We start from the raw sequence: 21,547 nt of genomic DNA on the forward strand, positions 1-21,547 counted from the left end.
AGACATGCATTCTCAGTGGCCCAGCCCAGCCAGATAAGCACACACAGCCATGACCTGACCAGGGCTCCACTCCCAGTGCCCCAGGGTTCCAGGTGGTCAGCACCACTGTCCACCAGGTTGCACCAACTGCCTGAGTGCCACACTCAGCTCCTCATGGATGGGGGCAGAATGGAGCTCATTCAGAGACAGTGAGACCATGTGACACCCACTGAGAAAAGAAGGGCCTGAGAGCGGGGTCTCAGGGGCAACAGGGAGAGGAGAACGGAGGGCCATGGCTCCTGCTGCATCCCAGAGGCTCTCCTGGGGAGAAGGAACTGTACTGACACCCCAGGGGGTGGAGGCAAGGCTCAACACCCATGCAGCATCTGTTCACTTGAGCTGGGCTTCGAGTCGGCAGGGCCCTGACCACTGGAAGTGTGACAGCAGAGAAAGGGCAATTTGTTTTCAGGGACACCTCAGAGTCGAGGCACTGGGCTAGCAACAGCTCCCGTTCACAAAGGATCCTTTCTGAGAGGGAAGGCGCAACCTGGTATTGAAACCTGGAGCTTCTGTTTCCATCTTGTTTCTCCTGTGTCTGCCCCTTCAAGTTCCATTAACATCAACCTGGACTAGACAAGATCCGTGTGAGAAAAATGCCATTAAGTACTTTCCTCTCATTAAAGGGCACTTCTGGTCAAGTGCTTAATGCCCCTGAAAGATGAAAAAAGCTGCCATTTTAAATGTAAGGCCTAGGACCACCCTCTCAGGCATTTACAATTTAATAAAGACTCTTACCAGGAGATCTCAGGTCTTAAAATCTCTGTGGAAATAAAACATTAACCTCCTTTAACTGTGACTTTAACCCTCACTTTTAATTTTAATTTTATTTTATTATTATTTTTTAAAACAGTGTCTTGCTCTGTCACCCAGGCTGGAGTGCAGTGGCACGATCTCGGCTCACTGCAACCTCTGCCTCCCGGGTTCAAGCAACTCTCCCACCTCAGCCTCCCAAGCAGCTGGGACTACAGGCACACGCCACCACGCCTGGCTAATTTTTGTATTTTTAGTAGAGACGCGGTTTCACTGTGTTGGCCAGGCTGGTCATGAACTCCTGACCTTGTGACCCACTCACCTCGGCCTACCAAAGTGCTGGGATCACAGGCGTGAGCCACCGCGCCCGGCCCATTTTTGATTTTTAAAAAGACCCATCCCAGTCTAGGGATTTACATAAATGCCAGGAATGTAGTCAACTTCAGCCTGAAACGGAGGGGCACACACACACCTCTCAGCGCACGCTGTTAGTGCCTCATTCTTGTCACTCACCACCCGCCCTGTGCCTCGAGTTCCCCAGTGGTCACAGCGCATTAGAAGGTTGCCTTTCAGTCCTGGTGTCATTATCATCTCACCAGGTAAAAACATGGAGCACTTTTACCATTCTTTCTCCCCTTTACAAAATGAGAAAAATAGTCTGTGCCCAACCTCAAGCCCCCAAATCCAACGGATGCATCGAGAGACTGACATAAAGACGCGGAGGGAAGAGGACTGGCATGCCTATTTGCCTCCCCTTCACGCCTCGAGATAACAAACGCTCTTCACTGATAAAGGCTAAGAAAAGCCCGAATTCCAGGTCTGGAAGGACAGCCAAGAGCCAGCCCTCCAGTAAAAGAGTGAGTCAGACCAGAGAAGGGCGCCCCCTCGTGGCAGTGCCCACAAAGTCCAGGCAGCACGGCGTAGGAAGCCTGGGAGGGGCAGGCCCCAAGGAAGTCAGGGAAGGGACTCTCCACCACAACGCGGGAGTCCCGCCTCCGCTGGCCTCAGGAAGGTGAAGATGGAGAAGAGGCATCATGGCCCCAACAAGTAGCTTTGTTTTGCTTATTAAATGTGTGCACACTCAGACACCTATCAAAATATTCCAAGCAATCAAAGTGACTGCAACATCTCCAGCTGAGCCTGGCTCAAGTGAACAGATGTCGGCTGATCTGCCAGCATCTCACGGGCGCCTTTCCAGAGACAAAGGGAAGAAAGGATCTGAGTGCCGAAGTCACAAAGTCCATCTGCGTTTTTCCTACCCTTCTGTCGGTGACTGTCATCCAAGCAATTGGAGTCCCCATACAGTACAATCCGGCCTCCACCCTCAGCTGGAATCTGATAAAGTCCCAAAATGGGGACGTTTTCAACAACTGCTGTTTCCTGCTTTAAAACCTCCAATCCTGAAACAACACAACAAAAAACAACAGCCATGAGAGTTTCCACTGAGCAGTGAGTTATTTCCTGATATTTCATCCACGTGACAAATAAACCACATTTACAAAATCTAATATTCAATTAAAACATTGCAAATTTTTAGAATAGAAAAGCCTTAAGAATAAGCCTTTTAGAATAGAAATGTCTTAAGTGCCATTGATTTGTTTTAGCAAAATTCACTTTGTGTGTATTTCCGTATCTATCCACTTTCATTTTTACTTGCCATGGCAGTACATAATATTTACAATTGCAAAGGTGCTGCCTCTATCTTAAAAAAAAAACCTAAATTGTGTCCCCTCTTATTATCCTGAAAGGCCTATGTTTTCAGACACCTACACAAAGGGCAGCCAGCAGATCTTGCTAAACACACAGGTTTCTCTATGAATACAGTCATATATACTAATACCCAGGTTTCACGTTTTATTATGAAAAGCTAGGACAAATGTAACTAATTTTTAAAAGTATGTCCACATATTTATATTTAGGTTTAAGACATCGGTTACATTAATTTCACAAAGACACATGTTCCAATAGCACAGCCTCCTATCTTTGCCCAGATGACATAATTTAAAATTTGTAATGAATCAAGAAGTCAAAAATGTATAAATGCCACAGGCAGCATCATCAGTGGCACCACCAGATAATCTAGGAGTCTCTGCCCCTAATTCAATTGCTTTCCTCAGCACTAGAACATGATGTACGTCTTCAGCAGAATCTAGTATTGTCCGTGTTGATAACATCTGAAATGTCTGTAGCTCTATAAACGTGACATTCCCTGCTCTCTGTGCAGGAATCCTACTAGGAGCTGAGTAGAAGAAAAAATAGGCCATTCTTTGGAAGAGGGAAGCAGTCAGGAAAAACTGGAACACATTCACCGCCATTTGCCTTGTGGTATTTGATGGGAGTTTTATTTCTGCCATCAGGGTCTTTTCTGATCAGGCATAACCCAAATTCCTATTTTCAAATTCTTATTTTGTACCCAAAAGATTATTCAACTTAAAGTCTTTATGGGAATAAAATGCCCCTTTAAAAAATTTCGTTTTCACACTGTAGTAGAACACCTAAAGAAAGCACATATCCTTAAATCTACTTCTGATTCTCCCCACCCACCTACCAAAAACAAGGATCTCCCAGAGGGTACAAGCCAATGAGACCACCGCTTTGATCCCTTGTTTACAGCTAGAACCTGAAGTGATACTGTCTATGAGAAATGCTTTTAGAAAGAATCACTAACCCATGGCCAAGTGACTGTGAAAACAATCATTATGTGCCTAAAGGTGAAATATAACCTATTAAACACAGATCCAGTTACTGATCAAACTTGCTTTTGATAAAAGGAAAAAATCCCTTCCAGGTAATATAAAAATAAGTTCTATATTCCAGTTGCAAGTAGATAAGGTGAGAAATCCTCTCTTTTCATCGTTTTCAACTAATAAAACTATCCTTAACGTCCACGTACAGAAAATGGCAACTTTAGAAGGGAGGGGGCCTCTCATTCTGAAATACACAGTATCAAACTTGCATGACAGAAACGAATCTTGTACATTTTCATTTTTCTAAAACCTTGGTAATCTGGCAATCACAGAAGCAGAACAATTTATAAAGGGTAACAAAAAAATTCATCAAGTAACCTTGAAGGTAGTTTTTTTTTTTTTTTTGAGATGGTCTCCCTCTGTTGCCCAGGCTGGAGTGCAGTGGCATGATCTTGGGTAACTGCAACCTCTGCCTCCCAGGTTCAAGCGATTCTCCTGCCTCAGCCTCCTGAGTAGCTGGGACTACAGGCGCGTGCCATCATGCCCGGCTAAATTTTTGTATTTTTAGTAGAGACAGGGTTTCACTGTGTTAGCCAGGATGGTCTCGATCTCCTGACCTCATGATCTGCCTGCCTCAGCCTCTCAAAGTGGTGGGTACCATTCAAGTAATATTGCAATAAATTTTAAAAGAAACCAAAATGTCGAATGGGCATGGGATTTCTTATTGCGGTGATAAAATTGTTCTGGAAGTAGACAATGGTGATGGTTCCACAATTTTGTAAATACACTAAAAACCACCGAATTGTACACTTTAAAAGGGCAACTGTTATGGTATGTAAATTATATGCAATAAAGCTTTTATTAAAAAAGAGACAGAGATGAGAGACAGAGAGAGAAGCGGGGGAAAAGGGAGCGAGAGAAAGAAGAAGCAAAAGGCCCATGAATGGCATCCTTTACCTTGGTCCTTGAAAGTCTGTGTTATCACGACGCCATCTTCTGGAAACTTCGCGATGCTGCACCCTGACGCATAATACACTAGGAAAGAGTGTTCAAAGTCAAGGGAACACAGGAACGCCGAACACTTTAATAAATAATAGCTACTCGTTTACCCAAAATACATTCTTCAGATGCTATGTATTTTTTTAATTGTTTTTAATCTTGAGGGAGGAGCTGCTATTGCCTTGTCACACATAAAGTACAAGTAATCTCCTCAAAATTCAAGTAAAAAACACTACTAACATCAGGTTTCTGAATACATTTTATAATCAAAGAAAAATACTATTAACATTAGGTTTCTGAATAGATGTTATAACTCAGAGCAGTGAAAGGCTCAAAACAAGCTGTCCAGACCTGCAGAATGGGTAGTAAGAATGCTTACGACGTTGTTCTCAAAACCAGCTACCAAAACCTTACCTGTGGGGGAACTTCCTACACGGGAAACACAAAGTTATTTCATGAATAGCACTTTGTAAATAATTAAGAAGCTGTGAGGTAGTTCCTATTTGGGACTACTACATAAAGACTCTAATAGGTGGCACTAAAATTAGGAATGGCTACATAAAATATTTTCATTTAAAAAAAATCTGGACAAAACTAGAGCCTCACAGATGTACTTTTGAAAATACTGGTGAGTTCTTTCCACAGACTCCAGCTAACTGAGGGATCACCATTCTCTTTCTCAAGAAATCTAGACTTCAGAGGTGTAGAGCTTCTGCTCTCACACCTAAGACCACGCCCTCAGGAAACAGAGCCTTACTGTCATGGTTGGCCAGGGTGAACTCCCCTTCATACAGGCCATCGCTGAACCCCATGTTCCACACAGACAGCAGCTCATTCAGAGCTGGGATGTTAGCTCCTCCGGTATCCGGCATCCACCACTGCCTGGGAAAGTGGTAACAGACACACAGGGAACAGGGAATGAAGACACTCCATACACAGTTATTTAGTCTCTGTGACAAAACTCAATTTCTCCTGCCACAATCCAGTCCTTCCACACTAAGGCTTCAACTGAAACCAACTGTCTGGGTTTGGGTAAAACTGCAAATTTAAGTGCTTCGGCTGATGTGTAGAATTAATTAAAGCAAAATTTATTTTATGAAATGAAAATCAGTACTTTACCGAAATGCACCAGAGATAACTGCTTAGCCTAGACCCAGCAAGGTTCAGTGAAGGAGAAGGAGATGAGAAAGAAGCATAGAAATGTTCAGTCACAGATTCTAAAGAAACCGATTCAAAACATAAAGGTGATTATGTTTATAATACATTGGGAGTCCTTGATCCCAATAAAGGGAAGGACATTATTCCCTTTGAGTAAATTAATTACTATAAATATAAGTAAATTAATTATTGTAAATATACAATATTTAAATATACAATAATTTACTCGAAATATTCTTTAAGAAACAGTTCCTTTGGTGCATTTAAATTTATATATACTCAGTAACAGAGAGTGGAAAAGAATTAAACAGAAGTTTAAACCTGAAGTATCTCATATCTAAGATTAACAAGGAAAGACAATGAACCCTCTATATTATTAACAGTACTCATACTCAATAAACATCTTACTCTATGAGCAACTTTCAAGAACCTCTCTACTGTATAAAGGACTATTTTCTTTTTTGTGTTTTATTTTTTCTCTTTGAGATAGGGTCTCTCTGACACCCAGGCTGGAGTACAGTGGCTTGATCTCAGCTCACTGCAGCCTTGGCCTCCCAGGTTCAACCGATCTGCCCAACTCAGCCTTCCAAAGTGCTGGGATTACAGGCGTGAGCAACCGCACTCAGTCGAAAGGGCTTTTTTTCTAATCAAGCTCTCTGAATGTGTCTGTGCCAACTGGAAAGACCACCAACAGGTCAAATCATCACTTAAGTATTTGCTGGGTAGAATTTGATTCCCCAAAAGTCTTATCCAAATACCAATGCGTATCAACAGTACCTTGTGTTTTCATCATAAAACTTCACTTTTCTCATAACAGAAGTGTTGTACCAGTCACTGAAGATGACGAGCGAGAGGCCGTTGTCCACGTCCCTCCGGAGCTTGGCGATCTCTTCAGGGAAGTACTCCTCCTCACTGTCCACCATCAGCAAAGTGCCTGATGAACAAAGAACCAAAGCTGGGAACTGTCACTTCTGAATGACAGGACACCACCACGGCAGAAACAGTGTCACCAGGTACATGTCTCAGGTTACTGACACCTAACAGTCTGGTTTGTGCCACCCTGTACCACTTTAAAAGGGACTAAAAAGTAGAGGACCAGGATCCAGCAATACACAGCGACTAACTGTGATCTGATTTCACTTGTGGTGCTCAGGATAAAGATTTTCATTCACTTGAGAAGGAGCAAAATATATAGCAGAGCTGCTTTTAACTTAAAGAAAAAAGAGTACGAATGTCCCTGTCTCCAATCAGCCTGTCTTGTATTTCAGCTGAATGTCACACCGCCACCACCTGTTTCAGAGCCTCGCCCCAGGCTCACCCAGCTGTGGGGCCCACGGCGCATACTCCCTTGGTAGCTATCACTGAAAACTGGGATTCACTCCTCAGACATTTAACAAACATCCAAAGTGGGCGGAAAGACCATCTGGCTAGCACAGCAGTGCCACTTACCATACTGACTGGCATCAAAACACGTGAAGGGGGCCCCGAGGACCTCTACAAAGTAGCCCATGCTTCTCAGATGCTGGTACATATCCCTGAAATTGGTGTGGATGTGATCACCATTCCTGAAAAACAATAGGCCACAGCATTAAAATGATCGATCTTTACTGGCAATAAAGGCATATCTGGCCACAGGGCCGGCTCTGCAAGAGCACCATGCCATGGCCCACAGAGAAGGCCTGGATGGCTGGCCCACTGGCACAGGCATCAGCTTAGGAGACCTGTGTGCTCTGGTCTGGACACACGGAAATGGCTGATAAGAAGAAACCATGTGCCTGGCAGGTGCATGAAAGAGACAAAATGACCAGAAGAAATGGCCAAAGACATGTTTAATGTGTCCTGGACCATCACTGTAGCAGTCGCGTTCAAGTAAATTGCTGGCAACCATCTGTGTCTGACAGAAGAGCTTAGCAAATAGCCGCGGGAGTGCAGGGACGCTGGAACAAGCCACGCAGGGCCACGGTGCTAAGACAGCGGCACAGCTAACTGATATCACTGCCACTGGTCAACTTTCCATCCCCGTCCCTCCCAAATGAGCTCACTTTCCTATGGGACACTGTATACACCCTCTAGGGGTCACCTCATTCTCACCTCCCAGCAGCACAGACTCCAGGTCCTCTCCTGCAGGCCAACGGGCTTGCCTTGGTCTATGAACTTCCCACCACTTCCTGTCTACCCGTCTCTGGTCTGAGCCCCTCCAATCTGGCTGCCAGAGACATCTTATTTTAAAAGGCAAGTCTGACTCTGTAACTATCCTGGTCACATCTTTCAATGCTTCCCCTTCCCCTACTTTCAGCATGGAGTTCAAACGTAGTCCAAACATAAAAGCAGAAATGAGCTTGGCTAATGCACCAAGAGAAAGTCAGCCCAGCTGCCCTGCAGGGAACAGGCACAGGGAGAGCGGCTATGGGGACTGCGGGGGAAGCAGTGCCAGCTTCTGAAGGGCTGCATGGGTCACACCAGGGGGCTTGGCCGGGTGAGGAAGTCAGAATAGGCAGTCACTGGAGAGCTTGAGGCAAACTGTGTTAGAATTTGTTTTAAGATTACCAAGGTTGCCAGAAGAGGAGTGGAATTTAGGGCAACAACAGCAACAGCAGTGGCACTCAGGAGCTGCTGATGTGGTCCAGGCAAGAGATGACAATGGCATGGACTAGGGTGGGAGCAGGGAGAAGGCCAGAGATGGAAGGATCCAGGATGCAGTTTGAGGGTAAGACTGACAGCTTTGCTGACTGGCGCAATGGGAGAAGGAAGGAAAAGAGAACTTCAAGCTTTTTACTGCATAATCATACTTGTGAAAGTTTCAAAAGAGAAGTCAGGCTGCCCTAAGTGCATGGCAAAAGCCTGAACATCTCAGCGTCATCAGAGTCCAGGCTCCACGAGAAGCTGAGCAACATCTTTCCAAGAGTTGCGGGAACAGTGGTGCCTCCTCCCACCACGGAGGCTGGGGAGGTGAAGTGCATCCTGTGAGGTGCTTACCAGTCTAAAGGGTCATTCTTCATCCTTAAATTATCCCTGGGGAAATAGCCAGGTGGATAGCGGAGGTTGTGGTACTGATCCCAGAGAACTCTCTTGCTTCGCGGGGGAGTAGGAATTATCTTCACCTTAATGGGGAGCTTTACTGTTGAAGTCTGTTCTGCACCATTTTTTGACTAAAAAAAAAGAAAAGAAACTTGAAACGCCCTCATTGTGCAGAAAGAAACTTTCAGGTTTGAAAACATCATTTCTATTTATCAACTTAACCTAAATAATTTGAACACAAGAATTTCCAATAACAAATGTCTGATGAAAGATTCATGTATCATAACTAAGTCCATTCAAACACTTAAAGAGTTTAACAGTTAAAATTTAAGGCATATTCTATCAATAAAAACTACTAGAGCCTCATAGGATTAACCCTACATTTCCTTTTAGAGAATGTATATTTTTGGTGCACTCCTTTTGAGCTTGAAATCTGGTAGAAAACAGTCTTCTCTGCTGTTGTGTGGCCACAGAACGGCAAGCCCTAGCACTCACTGACTGAGCTACTTCTTCAAACTCCAGCTGCTCCGGAGGCCCTGGAACCATCAATTGTGGCCATCGAGGATAAGCCTATCTGTCAACTGTACTTCCAATGGAGACCCCAGGCATTTGGCCTGTCCCTCCCTGAAAGGTGATGTCAAACAGCTAAGAAAACAAGCCACTTTCCCGCATATCCCTACCTCTGTCTCTGCTGGGGAAGCCACAGTGATCATGACATGGCCCTGAGCAATGCCTTCCCAGGAAGCCGCTTTCTTGGTCACAGAAATGGAGATGGCCAGGTAGCCCGACCAAGGCCATAAGACCGAGGAGTAGGAGAAGGCAACTTCAATGTTGTCTCCGTTCTGTGGCAAATAGGGCTGCCAGTCAGGCTGCAGGAAAAAGAAATCAGACAAAGGCTAAAGTGAAAAGCTCCAGGAGAAAACACGTGGAAACCAGAAAAACTCAATTCTTACCAAAACTGGTTCCGAGAAATACTTCACTAAATAGGGAAAAATAAAATTTATACACAGATACTAAGTAACTACAACCAAAGTAGCCTATGGACTGCCTCGGACGTATCACTAGAAAAGTCTAGAAACCACTATTTCTGACAGCTTCCAATTTTATGGAGACATTTTTTTTCTATTATAAAACAGGAACTTTTGTCAAAAGTTCTTTGATGAAAAACTTCATCTGACTAAGAGAACTTATATAGATGAAAACTCTCAGATTTAAGGTTATTTCCCAATTAGTTGTATGCTTTAAAAAAATCCCATTAATTGAAAGCAGTAACATGACAGGGACACCAGCTGTCCCGAGTCACATTCTGAAGCTGGAAAGAGGTGGCCGGAGGGAGGACTGGCTCAGCTGCGAGATGACCACCCTTCTACCCTCCAGGTGGGAGAAAAGCAGAAAGGGAAGCGTGAGCAGAGGCCATCTGGAAGAGACGTCAATGAGAGCTTGCAACTAACCGGTATTTCAGACGAATCTAAATTACTCATTTCCCTCCACAATCCACACAGCCAGAACTTACTTCCCAAGTAAGCCAGTGGGTTAAGAAAAAAGTATGAAAAAGAAAAATATCTGTAGGATACGGTGTCCCAAATAATGAGGAAGAAAAGGGATTTTTAAAGAATGCTCTTGGAGCCACTGGTTCCCAAGTGAAAAACTTTCGCCCATCTCTTGTAACACATCAAATTAACACAGATGAAACAATTAAATATTTAACAATCATATACATAAAAATTAGTAGAAAAATAAAATGGAAATTTTATTATCTCTCTGGAATGATGTTTCCATCTGCAAAACAATAAAAGTCACAAAACATAAAAATTCAACTACATGAAATGTAAAACTTTTACAGAAGGAAAAAAATCCCCACCACAGTAAGTAATATTAAAGGGAAAAGAGCATCACCTGGAGGAACATTTTGCTGAACACACAGCAATGGTGAATTTCTCTATGACAGGGCGATCATGTTAGGATTGATAGAGAAAATCCCAATTCCAGGAGAAAAATGGGCCAACGAAATCAACGTGTAACTCATACAAGAGGAAACAGAATTCGTAAACACAACCAAAGATACCCACCCCACAAAGAACTGAAGTGCACATTACACAAGGCGCCCGTTTTACCCCCATCTAAGCTGAAAGCTGAAAGATGTACCACCTAGAATAGCCAAATGCCCAGCAAGAGATGAACGGAGAAACGCCATGTGGCCGACCCGCCCAGTGGAGCACTACTCCAACACAGGAAGCAGCGCGGCACTGACAGCACTACGGCGTGGACAAACTGTGAAAACCTGAGGCTGAGGGAAGGAAGCCGGGCACAAAAGGACAGATGCTATAGGATTCCATTGATGTGAGAAGTCCAGAACAGGCAAGCCCACAGAGACAGAAAGCAGGCTGGTTGCCAAGGGCTGGTGGAAGGAAGAAGGAGTGGCTGATAATGGGTATAAGGTTTCTTTTAGGGAATGTTCCTGAAGGAGATGTTGGCACAGCCTTCTGAATATACTAAAACCCACCAAACTGTGCGACCTAAAAGGGTGAATTTCACGATACGTGGATTTTATCTCAATTTTTTAAAACACTAATGGAATAAAAACACTTTAAAAGGCAAATCAGGTCAGGCGCGATGGCTCACACCTGTAATCCCAGCACTTTGGGAGGGCAAGGCGGGAGGGTCATGAGGTGAGGAGATCGAGACCATCCTGGCTAACATGGTGAAACCCGTCTCTACTAAAAATACAAAAAATTAGCCGGGCATGGTGGTGGGCGCCTGTAGTCCCAGCTACTCGGGAGGCTGAGGCAGGAAAATGGCGTGAACCCGGGAGACGGAGCTTGCAGTGAGCCGAGATCGTGCCACTGCACTCAAGCCTGGGAGAGAGCGAGACTCCGTCTCAGAAAAAAAAAGGCAAATCACCCAGTGAAGGTGTGGTGGAGCCATCTTCTCCTGAACCCCACTGGCAGCAGTCTAAGCTGACATAACTCCACTGGACAGAATTTGGTAGGATGTGCCAAGAGCCATCCTTGACTGTTCACACCCTCTGATTCAGGGAGCAAATCCAGGGAGTTTATGTTAAGGAAATAATTCAAAATAAAAGAAAACCATATATGCAATAATATTCAGTGAAATGTTTATAATTGAAAACTACCTAACAGTTCAAAGGAAAATAGCAAACAAATTATAATTTACTATTTCTATATAAACAACCATTAAGAAGTATACTGGTGCCATGCATATAGTTGAATTTTTCTTTTCTTTTTGAGATGGAGTGTTGCTCTGTCACCAGGTTGGAGTACAGTGGCATGATCTCGGCCCACTGCAACCTCCGCCTCCCAGGTTCAAGCGATTCTCCTGCTTCAGCCTCCCGAGTAGCTGGGATTACAAGCGTGTGTCACCACGCCCAGCTGATTTTTGTATTTTTAGTAGAGACGGGGTTTCACCATGTTTGCCAGGATGGTCTCGATCTCTTGACCTCGTGATCCTCCTGCCTCAGCCTCTCAAAGTGCTGGGATTACAGGCTTGAGCCAACACGCCTGGCAGCTGAATTTTTCAATATTTATGATATAATGAGAACCACCAAAAAAGTTGTGAATTTTTGCCAAGTGCACAATGATAACAAAAAAAATAAGTATTGCAGATAAGGGCTGGAAAAGAATATTTAAAAAACAGTGGCCAAGTTAGTATGCTGAGGCTGGAAGCGAGTTTTCTATGGTTTTTCCCTATTTTTTATTATTGTGATAGTGTCTACATAGTTAAGATTTTTAAAAATTTACAAAACAATATTAAAAAAAAAAGACCGTATCTTCCAAACACATTAAAGGATAGAATACTGGCTGGTGCGGTGGCTCACACCTGTAATCCCAGGACTCTGGGAGGCTGAGGTAGCTGGATCACCTGAAGTCAGGAATTCGAGACCAGCCTGGCCAACATGGTGAAACCCTGTCTCCACTAAAAATGCAAAAAATTAGCCAGACGTGGTGGCAGGCACCTGTAATCCCAGATACCTGGGAGGCTGAGCCAGTAGAATCGCTTGAACCTGGGAGGCGGAGGTTGCAGTGAGCCAAGATCATGCCATTGCCCTCCAGCCTGGGCAACAAGAGTGACACTCTGTCTCAAAAAAAAATAAAGAATGAAATACTACAACTGGGCCTTTAATTATAGGCGCAAAATTGTATAGATGAAAAATCAAATGTAATTAGCTGACTCAGGAGCCAAACTCAAGATGCCAAAGCAAAAAAGTAAAATTGGTTTCATTAATTTATACCCTGACTTATTCTGTAACAGACTTAGCATATAACAAATCACTACTTCCAATAGCCCTGGTACCCTAGACAGGGCTATTTCCTTTTTTTTTTTTTCCCAGACAAGGTCTTGCTCTGTCATCCAGGCTGGAGTGCAATGGCATGATCTTGGCTCACTGCAGCCTCAACCTCCTAGACTCAAGTGATCCTCCCACGTCAGCCTCCTGTGTATCTGGGACCACGGGCACACACCACCATCCCTGGCTAATTTCTTTATTATTTGTAGAGACAGGTCTCACTTTGTTGCTCAGGCTGGTCTTAAAGTCCTGGGCTCAAGTGATCCTCTCTCCTCGGCCTAGAACTTTTCCTTTTTTAACTTCAGCAGAAGTAACTATGGCCTAAAGGTCTGGGCTGTGTCTAAGTTCACCATCAAGTCAGAGACCAAGTCAGAGAGAAGTTTCACCTTATCTACAATTCTTCCTGTGACTCCCATGCCGTTGAGGATGGTGACATTAACAACTGTCGGCATTCCTCCATAGTAGATGGGCTGGGAGCAGTAGGGCCACATGTAGGGACACTCAGTCAGATCTATGTAGCTGGGGCTCAAACTGAAATAAAGAATACAGTGTTAGAGTAGATCATATGAGAAAACTACAATGAAGCAACACAACTGTACAAGACAGAGTTAACAAAGCAGACCTAGCTTCAGAAGGGCTTGCTTACAGCGCTGCCCTAGGCTGGCATCTGGGAACTTGGCTCTGGAATGCTCCTGCACAGATAAGGCCTCTGTGCCAGCCTGCTGTCTATACAGACAGTGTGATGTGCAGGGACACCTCTGCTTTTGCAAGTCTGGAGCTTTGGGAGTTGTCACTGGCAGAGAATGAGTACGTGACCAGCCCTAATGGAAACTTGGACTTGAGTCTCTAGAGGGCTTCCCTGGGCAAAAACACGTACACATGTCAATGCAGCTTGCTGCTAGGAAAGGGGCCAGCTCTGTGAGACCCTGCCTGGCAGGAGAGAGGGGAGAGCTTAGGAAGCTGCGCCTGGATTTCTCCAGGCTTTCTCCGTGTGAGGCATCTTTTTCCCTTACAGAGCCGCTGTGCATCCTTGCTGTGCCACTATAATGAATCTTAGCTGGGAGTATGACCACAGGCTGAGTCCCGTGAGCCCTAAAGCACCGAGCCTGGGAGAGGTGCTGGGGACCCTGACATAATTTGTGTCAGAAGTGCTGACACAAGTGCTCTGGCAATTATGTTGGTTTCATGGTTTCCCCTTATCTGAACTGAGTTTGTGTTGGGTTCACATCACTCCTAGTGCAGCAGCGGTGTCAGCTACGCCCGAACAGGTGAAAAGACAGGAACAGACAAATGTTTCAGACAAGACGTGACCCACGATGGCCTCCCTGAGAGCACCAGGCATACGTGGATCCTGCTTCTCAAGCTGCACCCACGTGCAGTGGGCGGGCGGCTCTGCGCAACTGCTTCACCTCATTACAGGAGATGCCAGCCTTTCTCAAACAGCAACTACGGTATAAGGAGTACTTTTTATTAGTTTGTAATAACAAAGATGTATCTGGGCCAACTGAATTGCTATTTAAGAAACCAAATGGAATATCTTTAGGGATACTGTGACTTTCACAGGCAGTTATAATCAACACATATCACAGTTAAGTTATCTCAACAGATACCACCTTCACAAGTCTGAAGTTCACCAAAAAAAGAAAAAGAAAAGGAAATAGGTACTACCTAGTTTTAAAAATCCTGAATGGATCGGCCATGTGACTACAATTGTATGCATCAGCAAAGGTATCTGTTCTACTTGAAATGTGTTTGTAAACTTTGCTGGTAATTGTGCTCTGTAATCAGTTTAATTCGACTACTAATTCAACATGATTTAACTAGGAAACCATTATTAGCAAACAGAATTCAACATCATATTAAGAAAACAAAATAGCAAGACCAGTGGCATTTATTACAGATTGGTTCAATATTGGGAAACTCATTAATATCATAAACCATATATATTAATAGGTCTAAAGTATTCATATGATTACCTTTCTAGATGCTGAAAAAACATACAAAATTCAATCCACAGTCCTCATGAAAACGCTCAGAAAAACAGCACTAGACAGATAATCTAACACAATAAAAAATATATACATATATATATAGATATACACACCTTAGGGATAAATCCAGCATCTTACTTAACGGAGAAATACAAGAGGCATTTCCATTAAGATTAGGAACAACGTAAGGATAGCCACTCTCTCCCCTGCTGTTCAACACTGTGCTAGATATACCAGCCCATGCAACTAGACAGAAAATAATCAATGAAGCCTTAAGAATTGGCAAGGAAGATGTAAAACTATCTTTATTTCCATATGGTAGGTTAGTACACCTGGAAAACCCTAGAGAAGCAATAATAAAACTAACTCAAACAATAATTCAGATAGGTAGCAGCATATAAAATTAACATATAGAAATAAAATCAACCAGTTAGAGAATATACAAGAAGAGAAAGCCCCATCTACAGCAGCAACAAAAAGATTAAATACTTAAACTTACCAAGAAATGTGTAAAACCTATATGAAGACAACTGTAAAACCTCCTGGAAGACACACAAGAGCAAATGGAAACATATCCTTTGCTCTTAGACAAAATAACAGCATTATAAAAATATTACTTCTAAGTTCATTTAAAATTTGATGCAATTGCAACAAAAATTCCAACAAGCTTCTTTCATAGAATTAAGTAAGATGATATGAAAATTCATATGAAGAAAACAAACATGCAAGAATAGCCAAGAAGGGCCGGGTGAAGTGACTCACGCGTGTCATCCCAGCACTTTGGGAGGCCGAGGCGGGAGGACGGCTTGAGCCCAGGAGTTGAAGACCAGCCTGGGCAACATGGCAAAACCCTGTCTCTACTAAAAATAGAAAAATTAGCGGGGCATGGGGGTATGTACCTGCAGTCCACCTACTTGGGAGGCTGAGACGGGACAGTCACCTGAGCCCAGATGGCAGAGGTTACAGTGAGCTGAGATCATGCAACTACACTCCAGCCTGAGCCACAGAGCAAGACCCTGCTGCATTAAAAAAGAAAAAAAAAAAAAAAAGAGAGAGAGAAAAGAAAAGAAAGAAAGAAAAGAATACCCAAGAAAACAACGAAAAAAAAAATTACAAGGGGAACTAGCACTAACAGATATTAAAACATGCTATAAAGTCTTTATAATCAAAACAGTGTGGTACCAGTACATGGACAGACAGACCAGTGGAACAGAATGGAAAGCTCAGGGATAGACATAATACATATGAAAACTTAGTACATAATAAAGACAGTATCTCAAATCACTGGGGCAAAGATGGACTTTTTAATCACAAGAGCTTTAACAAATGGGTGGCCATTTGGCAAAAGAAAAAATTACATCCCTACCTCCAAACAATACACAAAAATTAACTCCAAATGGATCAAGGAATTTCAAGTAAATAAAAGAAAGCAAACAAATATTAGAAGAAAACACAGGTGAATTTCTCTTTTACCTCCCTCAGTGCAGAAAAAGACTTTCTAAGGACTCAAAATACAGAGGCATCAGCTGAAGAGTAACAAATGTGACTATTAAAAAACAACTGCATGGCAAAAACACCTTACACTAAGTCAAAAGACAACTGACAAAGTGGCAGAAAAATCCGCAACATGCATCCCTGACGGAGGGTTACTAACACTCATATATCGAGAACTCTAAAGAGGGACCAAAAACCCCATTGAAAAAGAAATGAACAGACAATTCACAAGAAAGCTTAAAAAAAAAAAGCTCTTAAACATGGACTTAGGTGTTCAAACTCACTCATAAATAGAGAAACACAAATTAAACAATACTGAAATACCATTTCTTACCAATCAGATTTGTAAAAATAACAAGACAGAGCACTCTGTCAGTGAGGCTTTGGGGAAACCGGCACTCACGCACACTGCTCACGCAATACCAAAAGGCACAACCCTTTCACAGAGAAACAAAGCAATGCCTAACAGAGCTACCCGATGCTCTCAACGCTGACCAGCAGTGCTACCTTACCTAACAGAGCTACCGGGCGCTCTCGACCCGGACCAGCAGTGCCACCTTACCTAAGTTACCTGACGCTCTCAACCCGGACCAGCAGTGCCACCTTACCTAACAGAGCTACCCGATGCTCTCAACCCAGACCAGCAGTGCCACCTTACCTAACAGAGCTACCCGATGCTCTCAACCCAGACCAGCAGTGCCACCTTACCTAACAGAGCTACCCGATGCTCTCAACCCAGACCAGCAGTGCCACCTTACCTAACAGAGCTACCCGATGCTCTCAACCCAGACCAGCAGTGCCACCTTACCTAACAGAGCTACCAGACGCTCTCAATGCTGAGCAGGGTAAATTTTTAGCAATTTACCCTGAAGGAACACCTCCAACAAAACTAAGACACACAGGCCTGAGGTTATTCACTGCAAGTTTATAATTACAAAATACTGGAAACAACTTAAAAGCCCATATGTAGACAAGTAGTGGCTTAAACGATTGTACATTCACAGGATACGGCTGTGAAAAAGGAGAATCTCTACGCACTGACGTGGAGAGATTTCCAGGACGTTAAGTGAAAAAAGCAGAATCCAAAACAATATCCACAGCGATGCTATCCTTCTATGTATGTGCTCATTTGTGGGGTGGTGGGGGCAGGGGGAAGGATAAACCCAAACCTGATGTCATGGTTACCTAAGGCGTGTGCGGAAGCCTGGTAGAAAGAATGGGCGAGTGGGAACTGACATGGTTTGGATGCTCGCCCCCTCCCAATCTCACGCTGACGTGTAATCCCCCATGTTGGAGGTGGGCCTAGTGGGAGGGACTGGGTCCTGGGGGAGACCCCTCATGGGTGGTTTAGCACCATCCCTCTGGTGGTAACTGAGTTCTCACTCAGCTCAGGCAAGATCTGGGTGTTTAACAGTCTGGGACCTCCCCGCTCTCTTGCTCCCTCTCTTGCCATGTGATGTGCTGGCTCCCCTTCACCTTCTGCCATGATTGGAAGCTCCCTGAGGCCTCCCCAGAAGCAGGTGCTGGTGCTATGCTTCCTGTACAGCCTGCAGAACCAGGAGCCAACTGAACCTCTTTTCTTTATAAATTACCCAGTCTCAGGTATTTTTTTATAGCAGTGCAAGAACAAACGAACACATCCTTAGAACCACAGTCATGTTTCACACACCCAATAACAAGTTATAATCAACGAGGATGTGGGGGAAATCTAAAAAGGAATACAAACACGAATAAATGAGTCCAACTGTATTAAAAAGACACCAAGGAAAGAATTAACCTAAGTAACTGAAAAAAACACTATAACTGTATTCTGTAGGGCCAAAGATAATGACGCACTGTCACAAATACTATATTCAAAAAACTCACAAGGACATGGGCTAGCAGTTCCAAAGCTGCTCAGTACGTATACACTACAACTAAGCAAATAAGCCAACATATTGTGGATAATGAGAGCCAGGCTTCTCACTGTTGGAGAATGGAGTTAGAAACAGAGGTAACATGACCATCTCTGTAAATAAGAAATAAATAAATAAATAGAAACAAGGATAGGGAAAGGCTGGAATGAACACTGAGATACTGGCTGGAACCTGGAGGTGGCATGAACTCATGTTTCCAGTACATACACAGATAGGCAGATACAGAAGCAGTCGTATGTGTCTGTGCACGTGTCCACACGTTGCCTAGCTCTGTCCGAAGAGCGCAGTAACCACTGTGAGCACAGCAGCTTGGAGCACCCCGAGTGCCCAGGTCTTGATTTCTTTAGAAGAGGCCATCAGCAAAGAGCTGCTTGGAGACAGAACTGATACCAAGGCTAGAGCACAGAGGTGCATGACAGGACATCCTGTGCTGCCAGGAAGACAGAAAGTGCTCAGAAAAGGCTGGACACATGCTGAAAACACACATAAGCCAACTAGATGGAGCTCCCAACAGCCAACTCGGGGACAATTTGAACGACCCACTAAATGATATTAATTATAATCCACAGAGTAAAATAAATATCTATGTGTCCACACTGATGTAAAGAACTGAATAAATAAATGGGACAGAAAGGACAGCTCTTCCTTCCAGGAGAGTTCCAATTAATCAATGTAAATGGAATGAAGGAAAAAGAAAATCATCACGTGTCAAAGTTGTCAGGAGTAATCACCAAAGGCAAGAACCATCAAGGCATGCTAACATGAGTGAGTGGAAGTATGTGACGAAACAAGGCCATCTCGAAACATGCCCCCACAAGACACTGAGAAGTCACAAAGGAAACACGGGCTGCACAGTGGAGACACCTGGCAGGAGCCACCTCTGGCCCCACAGGGCCAGCAGCTCAGGTCTCCTCTGCAGGACACTGCTGGCTGACACCCGCAGCTGCCACCCTCAGGTCCTCACACGTCTGTGCCAAGGCCACGCTTCCCCTGGGGCTGCTCCCAGCCAATGACTAAGCACACAGGAGGCACCAGGGCAGGCCCATTCTGGGGGGACACAGGACTCCTCCAACAGGCAATCTGGTTCAAGGATTTCCCATCAGCCAAAACTTTTTCAGGCCTGTGCGAGCCTCTTCCTCCCCAGTCCTCCTAACTTTTCGGTGTCAGATCAGCACTGCAGTTCCTGCCTATTCCCACACCCTTCCCTTTATCCTTCAGAGGCCCTCACTCCCCACATATCTTTTGAACATGTAATCCTAGCTTGACGTCTGCTTCTTGGAGGACCCAGACTGACAGACCACATTAATCAAATGATGAAAATGAATACCCCCAATAACAAGATGAAGGAAAACGGAGGAACCGTCTGTGATTAGAGGAAACCAAGAAGACAGGACAATGAAATCCAATGTGGGATCCTGGACTGGATCCCAGAGAATGGACCTGTGGGACAATGGGCGGAATCTGCGTGAAGCCTGCAGGTCAGTCAGCAGTGCTACATCAAGGTTCATTTCCAGACTCTGACGCTCATACTGAGGTTATGGAAGATACTAAGGTGAGGGAAAGCTGGGTGAAGGACTCAGGGGTTCTCATGAACTATTTGTGAAACTTTGCTGTAAATCTAAAATCATTTCAAAATAAGGGTGAAAACAAAGCAGGGCCCAGGCCGGACGGGAGTACCACAGGAGCTGGCGAGATGTATGTGGTCTGCAGGTGAATTACAGCACAGTGTCAGTGTTTGTATGACAGTTTTAACAGCTGTACTCCACTCATCTGAAATGGTGGCATCAGGGGAAACTGGGCAACCTTGTAGGACAACTCTCTCCTATTTCTGCAAAATTTCTGTAAACCTAAGATTATTTCAAGAGTCTAAGAAAGTAAACAACAAAAGCAAAAAAACCACTCAGAAATCATTACTTTTAACCATTTATATTAAAGATCACATCAGTAAGCGAAAGCAGCTACCAGTTCTGCCAGCAGCACCCTGTAGAAGCAGCAGCAAAACCTCTCCAAGCACCCCGAGAATTCTGTGCTTAGTCATCATTTTCTGTTTTGAGGCTTGTATTTTGTGCAGAGGGAAAATTCGCCCAGAGCCCAGTGAAGGAGAGAAAGACCCATCGGCAGGGCGGTGCACTGACCTTGCCTGTGGCTTGTAGCTGTTGAGGATCTGATAGGCTCTGAGCAGATCGAGCTTGCCGTGGCCTTGCTCAAACATGTTGACCCCGGGGAGCCTCCGGGCTGACGCGATCAGGGCCTGCTTCATACTGGCGGGATTCACCAGCTCACGCTTCTGGACTGTGCTGGAGGAAAAATCAAGAATTGCCTATTTTCTCTCAGTAAAAGAATGGAAATTGGACCACTAAAACCTAACCTACAAACGTGCACACAAGAGGCCTGCAGTCTTGTTTAGTATCCAACAGGTGCTTGTCTGGCACAGCCTGCATGAGAGAATGAGTGCACACTCATCTCTGTACCCAATCCAGGACTGACCACTCCGCAACCTTCTACGGGACCCACTTATGCTAAATGCATCAGTAACACATATTTTTGTGATAATTCAACTAAACAACCACATAGGCTGCAGAAGGCATGAATGTATAGGAGGTACTGACTCCTCTGGGGAGAGGAAGCCTGCTGGTCACAGGAAGAAGATGCCATGGGACACCGCCTGGCTGGGAGAAGGAGGAGCACATTCAGATCCTGGGGAGGGGCCACGACACAGGACTAGCAGGAGGCACAGGTCTGAGTGAGGACCGCCGCCTCCAAAGCCAATCCTTGCCTTTTTGTTTCCAGATTGGGAGGCTTGTCTGGGATGAGCCACCCTGATGGATGATGCCTTTCAGAACGACATAGACCTAAGGCCACCTTCAGTTTCACCATGAGAATGCATCTGAACAAGCTTTAACACACAGTGTGACCTGGCTAGGAACTTAGCCTGGTGATACTAGCGTTACAACATCCATTTTTGTGTATTTATGTATTATAAATACAAGTGAATTTTAATTCCTAAAATTGAGGTGGGAATATCAGTACACAAAAAAGGAAAACTTAACTCTCCTAAGTTCCTAAATATTCGTATGTGATGATGTTTGGTGTTGGAGTCTAGGCAGGTTTTCTAAATGGGAAATCTGACATAAGTAGAGGAGATAAAGTAGATTCTTAATGACAGAAGAAAAGAAGTGCTCAAAGCTATGG

At 44.3% G+C, this 21,547-nt stretch overlaps 1 protein-coding gene across 3 annotated transcripts in view; it reads right to left on the bottom strand.

The window, feature by feature from the left end:
- Window positions 1–21,547, bottom strand: part of MBTPS1 (membrane bound transcription factor peptidase, site 1) — a 63,180-nt gene that overhangs the window by 7,494 nt on the left and 34,139 nt on the right. For all 3 annotated transcript variants that reach the window (NM_003791.4, XM_047434831.1, XM_047434830.1), the window contains exons 11-19: window positions 20,491–20,652; window positions 13,341–13,485; window positions 9,332–9,520; window positions 8,610–8,782; window positions 7,083–7,198; window positions 6,411–6,567; window positions 5,233–5,357; window positions 4,434–4,511; window positions 2,049–2,189 (exon numbers count right to left, since the gene is read on the bottom strand). In NM_003791.4, coding sequence (NP_003782.1) covers window positions 2,049–2,189; window positions 4,434–4,511; window positions 5,233–5,357; window positions 6,411–6,567; window positions 7,083–7,198; window positions 8,610–8,782; window positions 9,332–9,520; window positions 13,341–13,485; window positions 20,491–20,652 — 1,286 coding nt within the window. The remainder of the gene's footprint in view (window positions 1–2,048; window positions 2,190–4,433; window positions 4,512–5,232; window positions 5,358–6,410; window positions 6,568–7,082; window positions 7,199–8,609; window positions 8,783–9,331; window positions 9,521–13,340; window positions 13,486–20,490; window positions 20,653–21,547) is intronic.

This window comes from Homo sapiens, chromosome 16 (assembly GCF_000001405.40).
Source record: "Homo sapiens chromosome 16, GRCh38.p14 Primary Assembly".
NCBI lineage: Eukaryota > Metazoa > Chordata > Mammalia > Primates > Hominidae > Homo > Homo sapiens.